Source organism: Homo sapiens, chromosome 15 (genome assembly GCF_000001405.40).
Source record: "Homo sapiens chromosome 15, GRCh38.p14 Primary Assembly".
Classification (NCBI taxonomy): Eukaryota; Metazoa; Chordata; class Mammalia; order Primates; family Hominidae; genus Homo; species Homo sapiens.
The window spans coordinates 88,876,663-88,896,021 of NC_000015.10; the positions used below are offsets into that span (position 1 = coordinate 88,876,663).

Sequence of the window (19,359 nt, forward strand, 5' to 3'; positions counted from 1 at the left end):
TCAGAATCACCTAAAGGGCTTTGGTGACAACAGAGGGTGCCGGTCCACACCCCAGACTTTCTGACTCAGCAGGTCTCTGCTGGGGCCCAGGAATTTGCACTTCTAACAAGATCCCAGTGATGCTGATGCTGCCGACCACACTATGAGGAGCACTGAGCTAAGGGAAGAACCGAAGGAATAACTGGTTGGTGAGTGGCAGAGGCGTTCCTGCGCAAGGCAACAAGTCAAGTTTCCTGAGGCGGGGGTGGGAGTGGGAGGCAGAGGGTGAGGCACACGGAGCACTGGCCCCTAGATCCCTGGCCTCTGAGGTCCTCTGGAGGGCGTAGCCTCCTCTGTCTTCTGACAGACACCTCTGGCTCTTCTGCTGAGCCTCACACAGACAGACGCACTGCCAAGGGGTGGGGATGGTGAAGACAGAAGCCAGGTCCTCTGCCACTAGGCCAGCACCCAGGACCGGGTGAACCATTGAGCAGGCAAGGCTAGAACCAGCCCGCAGAGTTCCCTGTTCACCCCAGGGACCTGACCCAGCCAACCTATGAAGCCTGGGCTAGAACTGCCCCCACCACACCCACCAGGCAGGGGGCTGCGCCCTGAGACCGAACGAGATGGAGACACAGAAAAGGGCTGGGGATGGCGGAAGGCAGTCATAGCACCATTTATTGTCCAAAGTACACACACCTGAGGGCCCCTCCCCACACAGGGAAACAGGAGAAACAAATGACAACAAAACAGATTCTTTGGAACCGAGAGGGGAAGGGGAACGGGGAGGGGAGTTTCTTCCTTCCCTCAGCTTTCGCCTGGAAGCCTAGAACTGGCTTCCAGCCCTAGCCCCTCAGTGGGCAGACTGGGGTCAGCGGCTTCACAGAGAAGTAGAGGTGGGCAGGAGAGGCCCAAAGCCCAGCTCCGGAGGCCCCCGAGGCCCTCTTCTTCCCCCAGGCTGAGGGGCAGGGAGAACTGTGCCCACCATGCCCGGACTCCCGGCGGCATTCTAGACAGGCCACCGCCCACTCTGGGCACCAACCTCCTTAAGGGAGGGAGACCAGCCTGGATGGCGGGGAACCCTCCAGAAGCCCACAAAACCGCAAATGGCCCAGGGGAGCAAGCATGATTCCTGGAGTGGGGCATCCAGGAGCAAAGGGAGGCATTGGGTTCTGTTTGCTTTACAAAAAATAGTAAAAAAATGTTTAAAGAAAATTTAAATTGAGAAGTATAAAAACAGTTAAAATGGCTCCAACCCACAAGGGAAAACGAACCACTCAATAAATACACAGCCAGTGAGGGAATGCGGCAGGGGAGGGCCCCAGGTCCTAGTGCTGGCGGTAGCAGTAAACACCGTACAAGCGGCTCTGCGGGTCGGGGAAGCCAAAGCTTCGGACCCCAGGCTCTGGGGGCCCACAGTTAGGATGCGGGTGAACCACAGGGTAGCGGACGCTACCATCTGCCAGCCAGCCAGCGTCGCAGCGGTCCAGGCCATGGAACTTCCAGGCGGCAAAGAGCTGTCCCACCTTGGCGATCGTGGCATCATCTTCCTGGCAGGCCTCCCTTGCCTCTGTCAGCGTCAGCTTCTCAGGGTGCTCCAGGTAGTACACCCGCCCTGGGGGAAAGGGGGCGTGAGTGCCGTACAGCGCAGGGGGCAGCCAGAGAGCACAGCGGGGTCTGCAGAGATGCCAGCCCCAAAGACCCGTCTGAGCCCAGGGAGCTACCATACTGCAGGCATCTGCAGAGAACACTTTCTAATCTTCACCCTGTCCCAGAGAGCTCTGTCCCACCTGCCATAGAACCCAGGTCCCTCCAGACATGTCTGCACTCCCCCACCACCCTTCCCTATTTAGGTGGGTGGGCACCCCACCTAGGCTGGACCAGTCAGAGTCTCTTGCCCATTCGGTCATTTACTGAACACCTACTATGTGTCAGACACTTTTCCAAGGGCTTGGCATATGACACTGAACCAGTTTCTGTTTTTACTTGTTCATCTTCCTACGAAATGAGCTGCTTTGTGAAGACAGGCTGTGTTTTATTCGTCTGTGATTCCCGAGAGCCTAGTCTAGGCCCCAGCATATGGTAGGCACTCAGTAAACATTTGATGAATGAAGAAACCAATGATTTATGCCCTGCATAACGCAGCAGCAGCAAAGCACTCAAAACTCAACCAGATGCTGCTTCTAGGGTGGCTGGTGCTCTTGGCCTCCAGGTGGCAGTACCAGCAGAGCCAGCAGAGGGGGCCAGAGCTCCCCAGAAGCTGCCCTCTCACAGGTCCCAGGTGGCCACCAAACCCACAGGCCCGCGCTTGGCTATTCCACTCACCCTTGAGGGCAGTAGCGAAGCAGAATACATCATAGCGGTGCAGGCGGCGGTGGCGGGGGCCGTAGCTTCGCACGCCAGGTGCCAGGCCCGGGCCACCGCAGGGCTGCCGGGGCAACATGATGGGGTACTGCACCGTGGCATCCTGCAGCCAGCCCGCGTTGCACCAGTCCAGGCCCTCCTCCCAGGCCCGGAAGAGCTGCTCAAAGGAGGCCACCACCGCAGCCTGCTCTGCACAGACCTGCTGGCCCTCGTGGAAGTTGAACTGGTAGCGCCCGTTGGGGGACTGGTAAGGAAAGACCACACCTGCAGGGGAAGGAAAGAGGAGCTTAGGGGGTGGCCAGGGGCCCAGCTGGCTGGACACCCCGCTCTCCTCCCACCTTCACTGGGACATGTGCTGCCTGCAACACACACACATACACCATCCCTCAGAAAAACTCAGCAAACCTCTGACCTCCTGTCCGTTGCCGCCTCTCTCCTGGGACTCAGCTGGTTCACAGCAGTACTCAGAAAACATCCATGAGTTAAGGTAATTAATTAGTCCATTAATGTCCCCAACAATGTCCCCAACCTAATCCGCAAGGCTGTCGCCAGACCCCCAGTGAGGCTGTGCCATCTTCTCCAGACAGGCCCGGGCTTTGGGCTCTAGGGGCCAGGTTTGACTCCCAGCTCCCCACTCGTTAGCTGGGACCCGATCGTCTACGTTATTATGAATGTGGAAATTTCCTAGGAAAATGCAAGGAACTTTCCACGTGTGGCAGATGATTTTCAGGAGAAGGAGAGGCCCTAGAGGCCGTGGGGAGAGGGTTGGGGAAGGGCCTTCCATAAAGGAGGCTCAAGGGCAGGGAGGTCTGGGGCAGGCGGTTTCTCTCCTTGTGGTCAGGGTCTGATAGAGGCCACAGGCCCTGAAAAGATATGTTCGTGTTTGAAATTTTACTCTAATAAAAAGTTTTTAAACTTCTGAGATGTAGTCTCTACCAAGTCAATGAAACCTTAGGGAGTGGAGGTGACCCTAGGGGTCTGGGAAGGACACTTTGGAATCTCCTCCGTGTGGCCAAGGACCCAGGAACAGCCTGAGCCCCAAACCTCCGATCTCACCAGGGCCGGAAGCCAGGCACCTGGGCAAAGCCAGGTTGGGCGGCAGAGAAGCCCATGGGCCCTGACAGTCAGCTTGCAGCCTCTACGTGTGTTTGCAGGGGGACTATTTCATGCCTGGTTCCACCCCAAATTCCTAGCCCTTGAAGCCCCGGGAATGGGGTGAGGGCTCCCTGTTTCTCTAGGCTGCCCCTGCAGACCCCAGACCAATGACTCTTGCAGGTTCTCCCCAACTCCACTGCCACCCCAACTTCAAGAATGAGGAATGCGGCCCCTCTGAGCCACCATGTAAGCCATGTGGACACTGGTGGCAAAGACAGAGAACGCATTTTAAGGACATACATCTTATCCTCATTGCCTCTGAGGGAGGTAAAGGAGGAAAGATTGTGATACCCCATTTTACACCTGAGAGGCCCAGGGCTCTAAGGGGGATGAGGCATTTACCCACATGTCATAGCTGGGACGGGCTGGGGCTAAAGTCAGGTCACCTTCCTCTATCCCCGAACTGCCTCCCTAACATGTGGGAGAGATGTGAGGACACACAGCCCCATCCTAGAGACAGAGAAGGTAAATACAAATTAAAGATCAAACAGGGACCCCACATACAAGATCCGGCTTGCAGGGTGTGGCTGGTTTGGACAGCACTGGGTTTTTGTTTTTGGTTTTGGGGGGGCTTTTTGTTTGTTTTTTGTTTTGTTTTGTTTTTAAAAAGGAGGTTTTTACATAAAAATCAGGAGATCTCACATAAAAATATAAGCTTATCTTGTCAAGCCAGAAAATTTGGCAGTGGGGTCTGCATTCTGGCGTGGCATCATCAGCTGGGCCTGAGTAGTGTGGGAGCTCCCTGGGCACAGGACAAGGGCTCAGGAGTGTGCCCAGTCCCCACCACTCCCATCGTCTCACAGTGGGCTGCCTCATTCGCTTGTGTTACCCGCTAACCTTGCTTAAATCTCAGCTCTGTCTCTAATAAGCTGTGGGACCAGCTCTGGTTTTCCTCTCTCTGAATGAGATGTGAATTACAGCGGGTAGAGGGGAACAGATTCTAGAGGCTGGGTGCTTGGGTTCAGACCCCAGCTCTGTCGTTTACAAGCTGTGTGACCTTAGGTAAGTTACTTGACCTCTCTGTGCCTCAGTTTTCTCACCTGTAAAATGGGGGTCACAACAGTAGCTTCCATGTGGGTTGTTTTGAGAATTAAGTACTTTTAAATGTCTAAAGCACAGAGGTCTGGATGTTTTCTCTGGTCCTCTCCCCTCTGCTCTCAGGTCCCAGTGTCACCCAGTCCCCGTTAGCATCTCACCCCGCAGCTCCAGCTCCACCAGACCGCTTTCATCCTCCAGCCCGTCAATGACCTCACAGCGGTAACGCCCATAGTCCTCCAGCCGCAGATCCTGGATCTCCAGCGAGACGTCATGCTCTTTGTCCTGCCGCAGGTGCACGCGGCCTTGGTAGTCCCCAAAGGAGCGGTGCCTCAGCCCGATGGCCACCAGCACGTCCTTCTCTGGGGCCCCGTTCTCCGACAGCTTCCACCATTTGACACGCACACGCCGCGGGGAGACCAGGGCCGGCTCGTAGCGGTAGCGGCAGGGCAGGATCACACTGGCCCCTTGGTAGGTGAACAGGGTCTCCTCGGGTGTCTCCACCACCAGCTTCACTCCATTAAGGAGGTCTTGGGGGAGAGACAGGGTGCAGATGAGACCTGCTGAAGCACATCTGTACCCCTGCAAGGGCCACCGCACACCCTCATCCACGGCTCCTACAGGCTCAGATTGCAAAAATGGCCACCATGCTCCACCCCTCCCTGTATCCACATGCTCTGCAATGTGACTTTGCATCTCCTTCCATCAAGAGATGACAGTTATTCCCCCACCCCCTTGAATCTGTGCTGGCCTTGCCACTTGCTTGACCAACTGAATGCCTTGGAAGTGACTGTTATCCATCATGCCTGCTCTGAGCATAGGTCCCAGGGGGCCTTGCTGCTTCCACTCTTTTTTTAGGACTTTGCCAGCCACCATGAGCACATGGCCAGGCTTGCCTGCTAGAGGATGAGAGAATACACAGAACAGAGACAGGGCGCCCCAGCTGAGGCCATCCTACAGCAACCAGCCCCCAGCTGACCTGCCCACCATGGGCAGGCACATCTGCAAGACCCAACCGCAAGACCTGAAGAAATGGAGCCCACTCCAAAATGCTGACCCACAGAATCATGAGCTAAACAAATGGCTGTCATCCTAAAGAAGTCACTAAGTTTTGGGTGGTTTGCTATGCATAAAATCTAACCAATGGAGCAGGCAACAAGAGCCACCCCACATGAGGTACATGGCCAGGACAAGTGGCCCTGATAGGGATCCGTCGGAGTTTCCTTCCCCACCACACTGGCCAGAGGACAGCACAGCCCTGGCTTTACTCTCTGGTCCAGCTGTCCACCATAACTCTTCCCAAATACGGAGCAGCCTACTGAGCTAAGGGCAGAACTTCTAAAGGAGACTACGCTCACGGCTCAGAGTTACAAATACACACAGAACTCAACATGCAACAAAAGAATCAAGTTCATAGGCTAAGGCTGCCTCATCTTTAACTTGGGAGCCCCTGTTGGGACCTCACTGATTCATTCTCTTGGGTCTAGACTTCAAGACATGCTTGATTTACTCAAGGTGGGGACAGGGGCCAGGCACGGTGGTTCACGCTTATAATCCCAACACTTTGAGAGGCCAGGACAGGAGGATCGCTTCAGCCCAGGAGTTTGAGACCAGCCTGGGCAATAAAGTGAGACCCTGTCTCTACAAAAAAATTTTTAAAACTAGCTGAGTATGGTGGTAGATGCTTGTGGTCCCAGCTACTCGGGAGGCTGAGGTGGGAGTATTGTTTCAGCCCAGAAGTCAAGGCTGCAGTGAGTCATGATCGCACCACTGCATTCCAAACTGGGTGAGAGAGCAAGACTCTGTTGCCAAAAACAAAATAAAAACAAATTAATTAATTAAAAAGGTGGAGGCAAGGGGACAGCCTCATGGGTAAGCAGGAGACAGACAGGGAGGTTCCCTGTAGAGGAATCGTGCTAAAAAAGAGCTATACCTAATGTAGCAGATTGCCATATGCAGAAGTCTCCAAGTGTGGCCCTCGGGCCAGCAGCATTAGCATCACCAGGAATTTGTCAGAAATGCACATTGTGGGGTCCCAGTGCCTCAGAGACTCTGGGAATGGGGTCCAGCCTCCAGGGGACTTTCAGGCTCATTCAGATTAGAGCTGTCCTGCTCTGCAGAGGCAGTAGGTACAGAGGTTTGGAGTCAGGCAATTCGGGCTTGCCCTTGGTTCCACCTTTTCCCAGCTGTGTAATCCAGGGAAGTCAAGACTCAGCTTCCCCATTTGTAGAATGGGTTAATTACAGTCCCTACAGAGGGCTGTGGTAAGGTTCAAATCAGGTAAGGCAGGATGCCTGGCACACAGAAAGTGTCCAATAAATATGAAGCAGGGCTATCATTTAGGGGCCACTTCCTTGGTTCTTCCCAACTCTCTTAAGTAAACTACCTTTGAAGCTTTAACCTGAATAAAATGAAAATGTACATCCATATGATAAAATACTATACAGCCATGTAAAATAATCTGGTAGATGTACATTCAATCATTGACTTAGAAAACGAGTTCTATTCTATGAGGTGATAAGGGAGAATACAAAAATCACATGTATGACATGAGCTGGTTTTTGTTGGAGAAAGTTTTCTAAATCATAAAAGAATGGCTCAGCTAGGTGCAGTGGCTCACGCCTGTAATCCTAGCACTTTGGGAGGCCAAGGCGGGCAGATCACTTGAGGCCACGAGTTCGAGACTAGCGTGGCCAACACGGTGAAGCCCCATCTCTACTAAAAATACAAAAATTAGCTGGGCACAGTGGTGCACGCCTGTAGTCTCAGCTAACTCAGGAGGCTAAAGTGGAAGGATCTCTTGAGCCCAGGAGGCAGAAGTTGCAGTGAGCCGAGATCACACCACTGCACTGGTGTGACAGAGTGAGACCCTGTCTCAAAAAAAAAAAAAAGAAAAGGCTAGAAAGAGATACCTAAAAAGTTAACAGTGGTTCCCCTGGGTGGGGGGATTATATATGACTTTGCTTACATATTCAGGGACAAAAGGGAAAGACAAAAATGAAATGTTGGCCTGGTAGTGTAGTGAAACTATGAGTAGGAAGTTTAAGTTTTTTAAATTCCGCAAATCTCATTAAAGTAGTGCTTGTAGGCCGGGCACGGTGGCTCACGCCTGTAATCCCAGCACTTTGGGAGGCCAAGGCGGGCGGATCAGGCGGTCAGGAGATCGAGACCATCCTGGCTAACACGGTGAAACCCCATCTCCACTAAAAATACAAAAAATTAGCCAGGCATGGTGTCGGATGCCTGTAGTCCCAGCTACTCGGGAGGCTGAGGCAGGAGAATGGCGTGAACCCAGGAGGCAGAGCTTGCAGTGAGCCGAGATCGCGCCACTGCACTCCAGCCCAGGTGACAGAGCGAGACTCTGTCTCAATAAATAAATAAATAAATAAAGTAGGGCTTGTATAACAAAATAAATTCTGAAGGAAAAGGGTGTGGTGGGCTAAATAATGGCCTCCCAAAATACCCTAAATCCTAATTATGTAGCAAAATGGACTTTGCAGATGAGGTTAAACTAAGGATGTCGAGATGGGGAGGGTATCCTGAATTTCCCAGGTGGGCCCTAAATGCAAATGCGCAAGTACCTGTTTAGAGGGAGGCAGAGGGAGATTTGCATATAAAAGAGGAGAAGACCACGTGACCAAGGAGGCAGAGCCTGCAGTGAGGCAGCTACAGCCAAGGAATGCCAGCAGCCACCAGAACCGGAAGAGGCAAGGCAAGAACAGATTCTCCCCAAGAGCCACAGGAGGTACAGTCCTATCCGCACCTCGATTTCTGCACAGTGAAACTAATTTTGGATTTCTGGTGCCTAAAGCAGTGAGAGAATACATTTCTGTTGTTTCAAGCCACCAAGTTTGTGTTAATTTGTTACAGCTGACCTAGGAGACTAATCAAAAGAGGGAAAATGCCTCTGCAGGCACAATCATCTACTCAAAGGCAGAGGGAAAGGTGAGAAACACCCAGCACTGCACTTGCAGGCTCATGTGTCGTCTCTGAACCAGGCTGTGCGCTCTTCATGGCAGGTGCTGGCTATTACTGAGACCAGCCATCTGGTTCGTTCCTTCCACAAACAAGTGGAACAAGTTTGTTGTTGTTGTTTTTGAGGCAGAGTCTCACTCTGTCACCCAGGCTGGAGTGCAGTGGTGTGATCTCAGCTTACTGCAACCTCCTCCTCCCAGGTTCAAGCAATTCTCATGCCTCAGCCTCCTGAGTAGCTGGGATTACAGGTGCACGCCACCACACCCGGCTAATTTTTTGTTTTTTGTGTTTTTTTTTTTTTTTTTGAGACGGAGTCTCACTTTGTCGTTCAGGCTGGAGTGCAGTGGTATGATCTCAGCTCACTGCAACCTCTGCCTCCCAGGTTCAAGCAATTCTCCTGCCTCAGCCTCCTGAGAAGCTGGGATTAAAGGCACCTGCCACCACGCCCGGCTACTTTTGTATTTTTAGTAGAGACAGGATTTCACCAGGTTGGTCAGAATGGTCTTGATCTCTTGACCTCGTGATCCATCCACCTCGGCCTCCTTAAGTGCTGGGATTACAGGTGTGAGTCACCGCGCCTGGCCAATTTTTTGTATCTTTAGTAGAGGGTTTCGGTATGTTGGCCAGGCTGGCCTTGAACTCCTGACCTCAAGTGATCCACTCACCTCAGTCTCCCAAAGTGCTGGGATTATAGGCATGAGCCACTGCACCCAGCCCTCAGCTTTGTCTTTTTAATAGCTGTTTGACCTGGACAACTGGATCAACTCTCTGAGCCTAGTTTGCTCATCTATGAGAAGGGATGATAATAGAATCTACTTTCAGGCTGTGAGGGCAGACAGCATCAATTCAGCCTGGTCAGCACCCGTGCTGCACTAATGGTTAAAAATGTGTATTTTCGGCAAGGCTCGTTGGCTCACGCCTGTAATCCCAGCATTTTGGGAGGCTGAGGCGGGTGGATCACCTGAGGTCAAGAGTTCAGGACCAGCCTGGCCAACATGGAGAAACCCCCATTTCTACTAAAAGTACAAAAATTAGCCAGGTGTGGTGGCAGATGCCTGTAATCCCAGCTGCTTGGGAGGCTGAGGCAGGAGAATCGCTTGAACCTGGGAGGCAGAGGCTGCAGTGAGCCAAGATCGCGCCACTGCACTCCAGCCTGGACAACAAAGTGAGACTCCATCTTAAAAAAAAAAAAAAAAAGGTATATTTTCACCCTTGCCTACATCAGGGCTTTTGTGATTACAGGAGACGACATATGCAAAATATCTAGAAGCGCGCCCAACCCATGTTGGGTGCACAATAACTGCTACTTTAAAACGTTCCCTGCCCAAGGCCACACAGCTAGTAAGAGGTAGAATTATAAGATTCAAACTCGGGCCAGGCATGGTGGCTTATGCCTGTAATCCCAGCAATTTGGGAGGTCGAGGCAGGTGGATCACCTGAGGTCAGGAGTTCAAGACCAGCCTGGCCAACATGGTGAAACCCCTTCTCTACTAAAAATACAAAAAGTAGCCAGGCATGGTGGCACATGCTTGTAATCCCAGCTACTCGGGAGGCCGAGGCAGGAGAATCGCTTGAACCCGGGAGGCAGAGGTTGCAGTGAGCCGAGATCGTGCCATTGCACTCCAGCCTCGGCAACAGAGTGAGACTTTATCTCAAAAACAAACAAAAAAAACATTCAAACTCACATCTATTCGACCCCAGGTCCCCTTTCCACTGGGGGGACCAGGGGAGGACACATTCAAGCTGGACCTTGAACAACTGGCAAGACTTTTAGGGAAAGTAAAAAGCCTAAGTGAATTGGGCCCCATGACGAAGGGGCTGGCGAACACAGGAAAATGAACTCACCCCTTCCCCTGTCTGAGAAGCAAGCTGGCCCACTACAAGGGCCCTGCTGGAACAGGGCTGCTGTCCCTGTCCCAGCCTGGAACCCTCAGATCACAGCAAGAGCCAAGGAGGTCTAGGTCACCCAGGGGAGCAAAGAGCCGGGTGCAGGAGGTCGCCTACCTTTGCCATGACCGTTGCCTAGGTTCTGGTCGTTGGCGCTGTTGGAGTAGTAGAAGCCGTTGTAGAAGGGCAGTCCGTAGGAGCCGGGCAGCAGGAGCAACGGGACCAGGAGCAACAGGCCCATCTCCTCATGCCAGGGTGACCCGGGCCAGGCTGGGGCCCCAGGGCAAACTGGGAAGGGGAGGAAAACAAGGCAATTAGAAAAGCCTGGCTTCCAGGGCCCACATCCCCTCTGCTCCAACACCACTCACTCGCTTGCTCAACAGCTCACTGCGGGACACCTGCCGCCTACGTGCCAGACGCTGTTCCCGGAGCTGAGAAGACAGCAGTGACAAGCTAGATGGGGTTCCTGCTTTCAGGGAGCTGTACCCCGAAGGCAAGACGGGAGATCAGCAAAGAGACAAATCATAAGAAGGAAGTATCAGGCAGCTAAAAGCAGAGAAAATTAAGCAGGATGATATGACAGGCTCAATGTTTTTCAAGCCAGAATTTGAAAGGTTATGGGCAGGCTGGGCATGGTGGCTCACGCTTATAATCCCAGGACTTTGGGAGGCTGAGGCGGGCGGATCACCTGAGGTTGGGAGTTTGAGGCCAGCCTGGCCAACATGGAGAAACCCCGTCTCTACTAAAAATACAAAATTAGCCAGGCATGGTGTCACATGTCTGTAATCCCAGCTACTCGGGAGGCTGAGGCAGGAGAATCGCTTGAACCCAGGAGGCAGAGGTTGTGGTGAGCCAAGATCATGCCATTGCACTCCAGCCTGGGCAACAAGAGTGAAACTCTATCTCAAAAAAAAGAAAAAAGAAAGAAAAGAAAAGAAAGGTATGAGCAGCACTTTTTAATGACGCCAAATAAACTAGACTAGAATAGAAAATATCAGGGTGAATAGAGGGTATGTTAAGTAAAGATGAGTCCTGCATTGTGAACCCTTTTTTTTTTTTTTTGAGACAGAGTCTCGCTCTGTCGCCCAGGCTGGAGTGGAGGTTGCTCACTGCAACCTCCGCCTCCTGGGTTCAAGAAATTCTCCTGCCTCAGCCTCCCGAGTAGCTGGGACTACAGGTGCGTGCCACCAAGCTCAGCTAATTTTTTGTAATTTTAGTACAGACGGGGTTTCACCGCGTTAGCCAGGATGATCTCAATCTCCTGACCTAGTGATCAGCCCGCCTCGGCCTCCCAAAGTGCTGAGATTACAGGCATAAGCCACTGCGCCCAACTCAAAAATAATTTTTGAACACCATGCTAGAGGTCTTGGGAGCTATTCCAGTTTGGGTGGGCGCTCAAAAGAGGTAGCCAACCCATGGGCTGTAGTTTGATGATTTGATTTTTTTTTAAATATTGTATTCAAATATTTTGTCTTGATTACTAAGATTTCTAGCAAACTCCCTTCCTCCCCCGCTTAAATCTCACACCAAGGGCTACTGCCTCACTCATGTCACCCTAGCCCTGCTCACCTGCCATTTACTGCGTGCTCTCAACAATTAAAAGATGGGGTCACTCCTTGAAGGAGCTTGGTCCAGGGAGGGGGCAGAGTCGTGGGCAGGCAGTCTTGATTGCTGTGTGTTGAGTACCACGATGGAGGTACAGAAACGGGAATGTCCAAATGAGACTGAAGATGCAGGAGTTTGCCAGGTGGAGAAGGACTGACAGGTTTATCCAGTAGGGCACTGCCACTACAAAGGTGCAGATGCCAGCAAGAGTCCCAAGCCTGGGGGTGCTGGGGGTATACAGGAGGTCCTCCATTTGCCCCACACACCCACCAGGTCCATCGTCTGTCCTTCTCTGACACGTATTGGTCCCTGTTGTCCCAGTTCCCCAGGCCTTCTGGCTTCCAGTGGGATTGAGCCAATGGGAGGCACTCAGAGAAGATGGCAGAGAGGGAAGAGGAGGAAGACGGGGCATTGCTTCCCAGCTCCCTTGCCACCCCAGTGCCTCTGCCATAGAGTGTCTGCTGCTGCTGCTGGCCTCTGCGTCCCCCACTTCCTTGTTGGGTCCCCTCACCCTACTCTCTAGAAGTCATTCCTCCATTAAAGTCTCTTTATTGGAATCATCTGGGCTGAATTCTGCTTCCTGCCAAGACCCTGGCTGCATGGGGGAGAGGAGGTAAGGGGGTCACCAGGGCCAGCGTCTGGATGCCTTGGGTGTCAGGCCCAGAAGCATATCCTGTTTTGTTTTTTTTTAAAGATAGAATCTCACTCTGTTGTCCAAGCTGGAGTGCCGTGGCAAGATCTGAGCTCACTGCAACCTCCGTCTCCTGGGTTCAAGTGATTCTCATGCCTCAGCCTCCCGAGTAGCTGGGATTACAGGCATGCGCCAACATGCCCCATTAATTTTTGTATTTTTTGTAGAGACGGGGTTTCACCATGTTAGCCAGGCTGGTCTCGAACTCCTCGCCTCGAGTGATCCGCCCACCTCGGCCTCCCAAAGTGCTGGGATTACAGGCATGAGCCACCACACCTGGCCAGAAGTCTATCCTTTGTCCTGGAGGCCAGTGATGGCTTTAAGCAGAGAAGTCACAGGATCAGACTCACATCTTAAGACACTTCCCTGCAGGGGCTGAGTGGAAGGTAGACCTGGGGGCAGCAAGACCAGAATGACAGCAGGCAGCTGCAAACATAACTATGATTATCATGTAGCAACGTGGAAGAATGCTTAGGGTGTAAGTTAAAATAGACAAAGCAGAACATACAATTGCCTCTGCTATGATTGCAACCATGTGGTCTTGTGAATGCCTGTGTACAGGACCCAGAAGATGAGGAAACACTTAAAGAGGAAGGGAGGGAGGACAGAAGGGAGAAAGGAAGGAAGGAAAGAAGGAAGGGAGGGAGGGAGGGAGGGAGGGAGGAAGGGGAGGAAGGAAGGAAAGGAAGGAAGGAAGGAAAGGGAAGGAGGGAGGAAAGGAGGCAGGCAGACACACACAGCATTGGCTTGTTAGAGTGATGGGATTGTGGAGGAAACATTCTTGTTTCCAGAACAGTTAGGAGCTCTTGCTGGAGAGAATGGATGTAAAGAAAGTTGAGAGGCCAAATCCACCATTCCCTTAGACACCACAGAAATCCCAAGGCCCAGACCTGCCATCTGTGCTGTGCACTGCAGCCAGGACACTACCAACTCTGAAACCCCACTTCTTGTCCAAGAGGAATTCATTCCCCTGTTGATTCCTGTAAGCCCCCTTGGTGATGGAGAACTGGGAGGCCTAAGCACAATGGGGCAACCTGGTACAGAGTTTGGGAACTGGAAGATCAGAGTTCAAATCCCACCTCTACTATTTATTCACTGCGAGATTCTGGGCAAGTTTCCTCGGTTGCGAAATGGAGATCATAAAACTCACCCTGGTATATTTCTCGCCAATGCATTCTAGTTTTCTCCTAAAGTAACAGAGGTCTAGATGGGTGCACGACCGTTCAGCTGAAGACTGCATTTCCAGCCTCCCTCGCAGCTAGGAGAGCTATGTGACTCAGTTCTCATCAATGGCAGCAAGCAGAAATAACATGCCACATCCAGGTCTGGCAGTTAAAACAATTACAGATGCCTTTCCCTGGTATTCCTTCCCCCAACCTTCTGGAAACCACAGTATCCAGCTTAGAGTCAGAGATGGAAACCACAGATTGAATGGCAGAGCTGCCCATCAGCCCTGGACCTCCTCCACTTGCACTGTCCTATGAGAGAGAAACAGAGTCCTATCATATTTAAGCCACCACTTTTTTGCATCTTTTTTTTTTTGAGACTAAGTCTCACTCTGTCGCCCAGGCTGGAGTGCAATGGTGCAATCTCGGCTCACTGCAACTTCTGCTCCCAGATTCAAGCAATTCTTCCTGCCTCAGCCTCCTGAGTAGCTGAGATTACAGGCACCTGCCACCACACCAGGCTAATTTTTGTAATTTTTTAGTAGAGACGGGGTTTCGCCATGTTGGCCAAGCTAGTCTTGAACTCCTGACCTCAGGTGATCTGCCCACCTCGGCCTCCCAAAGTGCTGGGATTACAGGCGTGAGCCACTGCACCCGGCCTGCATCTCTTTGTCAACACAGCTTAGCCTCACTTGTCCTAACAAATACACACACCACAGCATTACTATGATCAGTATAAAAGTATTAACAGCTGAGCACTTACTCTCTCATTTATTTTATTTTTGTTTTTGTTTTGAGGCCAAGTCTCACTCTGTCGCCCAGGCTGGAGTGCAGTGGTAAGATCTCGGCTCATAGCAACCTCTGCCTCCTGGGTTCAAATGAATCTCCTGCCTCAGCCTCCCAAGTAGCTGGGATTACAGGTGTGTGCCACCACACCCAGCTAATTCTTTGTATTTCTAGTAGAGATGGGGTTTCACCATGTTGCCCAGGCTGGTCTCAAACTCCTGGGCTTAATTGTTCTGCCCGCCTCCGCCTCCCAAAGTGCTGGTATTACAGGCATGAGCCACCACACCTGGTATCTCTCATGTAATCCTTACCACTACCCTGACATGTGAGCCTAGTAGTGTTCCCATTTTGCAGATGGAAAAACCAAGGCACAGAGAGACTAAGTCATATGCCCAAGGTCATCCAGCTAGGAAGTGGCAGAGCTAGGATTCGAACCCACTCCAGCCCCAAAGCCTGGAACCATGCCAAATTCAGGGAGGTGATTGTGTGGCACACACAGCCCAGTGGCCCAGAGCAAACCCTTGTAAGAGTTCGTTTCCTCTGCCTTCCTTCAGGCTCCACACCTGGAACCAGGAGGGAAGTGGGGCCAAGATTTGATGTTGAGCTTGATGTCCTGGGCTCCCCGCTGTCCCTGGGCACCTAGAGTCTCCTTGAGCAGAGGGGCTCCCAGCTGCTGCTTATAATGTTTCCAGCCTCTTACAGCGGCTCATCTAGCACAAATGCTCCCTAGTGAGAAAGGGCTTCCTAAGGGTAAACAAATGCAGGCGTTTCTGCCACTAAGTGACATCAGTAACACCTCTTTGTTGGATGCTAACTCAGCAGTAATGTAACCTCACATTGAGGGGGATGCCAAGAAAATCAAAAGGAATTAGCTGGGCACAGTGGCTTACACCTGTTATCCCAGCACTTTGGAGGCCAAGGAGGGTAGATCACCTGAGGTCAGGAGTTTGAGACCAGCTTGGCCAACATGGTAAAACCCCGTCTCTACTAAAAATATAAAAAATAGATGGGTGTGGTGGTGGGTGCCTGTAATCCCAGCTACTCCAGAGGCTGAGGCAGGAGAATTGCTTGAACCTGGGAGGCAGAGGTTGCAGTGAGCCGAGATCACACCTTTGCACTCCAGCCTGGGCGACAGAGTGAAACTGCATCTCAAAAAAAAAAGAAAAGAAAAACAAAAGGAATTATAAGAAAAGATCAGCCCTGTGCCCAAGAACAAAAGGCCAGGAGGAAGCTGGCCATTTTCCAGGCCTCTCTGAGAGAGGAGCAGCACACAGGCCCAAGGTTTCAAGTTAAACTCATTGAGGTTGGGTCTTGGCTCTGCCACCTGCTAGCTGGGTGACCCTGGGAAAGTCATTTGACCTCTCTGAACAGAAAATTTCCTCTCTCCAGAGAAGACTAAAGGGGAACTCGGGGGCTGAGGACAAGCACAGCCTTGAATGCTAAGGTCAGTGCACAGGACAGAGTCCTGTGTGGGAGTCAGGAGTGGCAATTGCCACTTGGTTGCTGCCTTGCCTCAGGTCCATCTCTGACCATCCCTGACCACTACCACTGAGGGGAGGGATGGGTAGCCTCTGCTCCCCTACCATGGCTATCCAGCCACCAACTCCTCAGGACCACCACAGAGGTGCCACCAGCTGGAAGGCCCAAGACCAAGTCCAGCCCAGTCACCTTGGCAGTGGATAGTTCCCCAAATCTTCTGGAGTCCTGTCTGGGCACTCAGACCTGGGCTCGGTATTGGAGCTGGACACACTGCATCCTGCTGAGTGACTTCGGGCAAGTTCACCTCTCTGTGCCTCCATTTCCTCATCTGTAAAAAAAAGGAACTTAAGGCCGGGTGCAGTGGCTCACACCTGTAATCCTACAGCATTTGGGGAAGCTGAGGGGGTGGATCACCTGAGGTCAGGAGTTCGAGACTGGCCTGGCCAACACAGTGAAACCCCCATCTCTAATGAAAATACAAAATTTAGCTGGGTGTGGTGGCAGATGCCTGTAATCCCAGCTACTGGGGTGGCTAAGGCAGGAGAATTGTTTGAACCCAGGAGGCGGAAGTTGCAGTGAGCCAAGACCACACCACTGCACTCCAGACTGGCCGACAGAGCAAGACTCCAGCTCAAAAAAAAAAAATGGGCTGTGGTGACAATTATAGAAGATGTATGATGTCTGGTCCCTGGCATGCAGCAGGTGCTCAACAAATGAACATGGCAAAGATTTCAGGCTCTAGAAGCAGATTGGCTGCCTGCATTCAGTTCTGGCTCCACCCACTTACTAACCCTCTGTCATTGGACAAGTCGCTGCACCTCTCTGAGCCTCAGTTTCTTCATCTTTAAAATGGGGGTCACAAGCCAGGCACAGTGCCTCATGCCTGTTATCCCTGCACTTTGGGAGGCTGAGGTGGGCAGATCACCTGAGGTCAAGAGTTCAAGACTAGCCTGGCCAACACGGTGAAACCCCATCTCTACTAAAAATACAAAAATTAGCCGAGTGTGGTGATGAGCGCTTGTAGTCCCAGCTACTCGGGAGGCTGAAGCAGAAGAATCGCTTGAACCCAGGAGGCGGAGGTTGCAGTGAGCCGAGATTGAGCCATTGCACTCCAGTCTGGGCAAGAAGAGTGAGACTCCATCTCAAAAAAAAAAAAAAAGTTGGGGTGGGGGGGGCGGTCACGACAATACCAAACAGAAAACACTCTCGTGAAGATTAAGGGAGAGAATAGCTGCAGAGCACTGAAAATACTGCTTGATGCTTGATAAGGAGCAAGCACTGGGAAAATATGACCTGTTACTACTCTGGTGAGCAGTTCACACAGTGAAGTCTTACACCATCTCAGTGGCTCTTTCTCCTCTCTCACTGCCTACGAGACAAAGTGGTCACCACTGCCTCCTCTTCACAGTTGAGGAAACTGAGGCCAAGAGAGTGGAGGTCAGTGAACTACCCAAGGCGTTATCTTTGTCAAATATCTCGAACTTAGAGAAAGTTCAGGTTTCCTGATGACCAGCCCTTTGCTTTTCCCAGGCGCCCCAGCCTAGGGACCCCTCCACCCAAGAACAATAAGCCTGGGCTTGGAGGGAGGGTAGGTGCCACCTCCCTGCCAGGTGCATGTCCGCACTGGGCCTTCCGTGAGTACAAGTCCCCCAGGTACCAGCAGGAGGCAGCATCGCCCGCGAGGTCTGCACGAGCGCTGCTCCCAGCGAGAAATTTGACATCCCTGTCCCTGTTTGCACAAGGCTTGATCTCCGCCTTTGAAACCTGCAGCCCCCAGGAGAATGAAAACCGGAGGTGTTTCCCAATCCGCTGGCCCGGGCGGCGTCGAGGGAGAGAAGCCAGGGCCCCTCTCAATCGCTGCCCCCTACTCCAGGGAGCACAGGCACTCCCGCGGGTCAGCGCTGGACACCAAGGTCCCAACAGGTTTACAGGCTGCCTGTGGCCTGTGGCTGCCAACGAGCTGGTGGCAGGACTGGGTCCAAGTGCCGTGCTGTTTCCATACTGGCTGCGCACAAGCCTACGTTTCTCCCTGAGGGTCGCCATCTCCCACCCAGGGCTCTGCCCTCCACCCTCCCTACCCTTCTGGCCTCGCTGTCCCTGGGGCAAGAACCCCGGTGAGCGAGGTCTGGAACCCATAGGCATCAGTTGCCTTTGCCCCAGGCGCCCAGAGCCGGCCAGCTGCGGTCCAGAGGCGCAGGTCCGCCAGCCGCCTCGCAGGTTGCCCTCAGCCCCTCCCAGGACTCCCGGGGCCCCCGGAGCATCCAACAGATACCCAGGGGCAGGGCCTGGGGCGCCGCGGACGGCACTGGAGGCAGCCGACCCTGGACAGACGACAGGGGAGAGAGCCAAGCGGACCCTGGCAGGAAGGGGGCTGGAGGCGGACGGTGGTCTCGGAGGCCACGGGGTCCGCTCGGGCTCTGCTCCCTCACGGTGGGCACGAGGGTCCGGCGCCCGCATCCCCGCGCCGCTCCCTCCCCACTTGTGCCCCGGGCGCCCCTCGCCCGCGATCACAGCCCATCTCAGCCCGGGCCTCCGCAGTGCCCGGCCCACGCCTCCTGCCCCTTCCCCGGACCCTGCCCGGGAGGTGTGGGGACCCGCAGGGCACCCAAAGCGGTAAGGGAGGAACCCGGCCCGCACACAGCCCCAGAAGCCCAGCGACCCCTAAGCCACGTACCGTCCCCAGGCAGCTCCTCGACGGCTAGAGCTCTCGGGGGCCGCGAGCTGTCCCGGTCCAAGGCAGCAGTCTGATTTCGGGGAAATTAAAAGGGCAGAAAGGAAGCGGCAGCAGAAAAACCCCCGCGCTCCCGCCAGACCAGCCCCTTAAAGGAACACGCGCACCTTTCCCTCCCAAGGGCTGGGCTCGAAGGGAGGAGCTGCTGCAGGCTTGAGCGGTCTCCAGACTCGCTGGGAACCACCGCAAAGAGGGTGTGCAAGAGTTGAGGCCCTCACGTCTTGGGAAAGGAGAGTAGGGGTGGAATAGGAGAGTTTGGGGAGGGGGGATCCCCTTAGAAAGCCTGGTATACCAAAAACAGTGGGAGTAAGCAGGGGAAGCCCCTGTCCAGCATTCTGCTAGGGGCTAAGGCTGCTCCCCACCTTTGATTGTGGAAGGGGTGAGACTTCTGTATTACTTTCTTTTCCAAATAGAAAGCAAGGGGGTGAGGCCAGGTGCAGTGAGTGGCTCATGCTTGTAACCCCAGCACTTTGGGAGGTGGAGGCCGGTGGATCACCTGAGGTCAG

General features: G+C 53.1%; 1 protein-coding gene across 8 annotated transcripts, besides 3 other annotated features; it reads right to left on the minus strand.

Annotated features, from left to right (window-relative positions):
- Nucleotides 632-18,882, minus strand: HAPLN3 (hyaluronan and proteoglycan link protein 3). 8 transcript variants are annotated; one of them, XM_011521261.2, is made up of 6 exons: nt 18,797-18,882; nt 16,366-16,450; nt 10,513-10,683; nt 4,695-5,063; nt 2,305-2,607; nt 632-1,594 (listed from the first exon to the last, which is right to left on the minus strand). In XM_011521261.2, the coding sequence occupies exons 2-6, from the start codon at nt 16,448-16,450 to the stop codon at nt 1,308-1,310; spliced, it is 1,215 nt and encodes a 404-aa protein (XP_011519563.1). In that variant the 5' UTR covers nt 18,797-18,882; the 3' UTR covers nt 632-1,307. The 8 variants fall into 8 exon arrangements, with proteins under 8 accessions (XP_011519563.1, NP_001294881.1, NP_839946.1 ...); NM_001307952.2 differs by having other exon boundaries at nt 16,312-16,450; XM_047432175.1 differs by lacking the exon at nt 632-1,594 and adding an exon at nt 2,756-2,806 and having other exon boundaries at nt 2,515-2,607; nt 16,312-16,450.
- Nucleotides 1,888-2,463: an enhancer, noted in NCBI's record as "H3K27ac-H3K4me1 hESC enhancer chr15:89421781-89422356 (GRCh37/hg19 assembly coordinates)". NCBI's record gives its function as "activates a minimal SCP1, AML or CMV promoter by ChIP-STARR-seq in naive H9 embryonic stem cells {active_cell/tissue: H9 hESC(naive)}" and the evidence as "EXISTENCE:reporter gene assay evidence [ECO:0000049][PMID:30033119]".
- Nucleotides 8,600-9,311: an enhancer, noted in NCBI's record as "H3K27ac hESC enhancer chr15:89428493-89429204 (GRCh37/hg19 assembly coordinates)". NCBI's record gives its function as "activates a minimal SCP1, AML or CMV promoter by ChIP-STARR-seq in naive and primed H9 embryonic stem cells {active_cell/tissue: H9 hESC(naive and primed)}" and the evidence as "EXISTENCE:reporter gene assay evidence [ECO:0000049][PMID:30033119]".
- Nucleotides 18,108-18,719: an enhancer, noted in NCBI's record as "H3K4me1 hESC enhancer chr15:89438001-89438612 (GRCh37/hg19 assembly coordinates)". NCBI's record gives its function as "activates a minimal SCP1, AML or CMV promoter by ChIP-STARR-seq in primed H9 embryonic stem cells {active_cell/tissue: H9 hESC(primed)}" and the evidence as "EXISTENCE:reporter gene assay evidence [ECO:0000049][PMID:30033119]".
- Nucleotides 18,883-19,359: the final 477 nt, after the last annotated feature.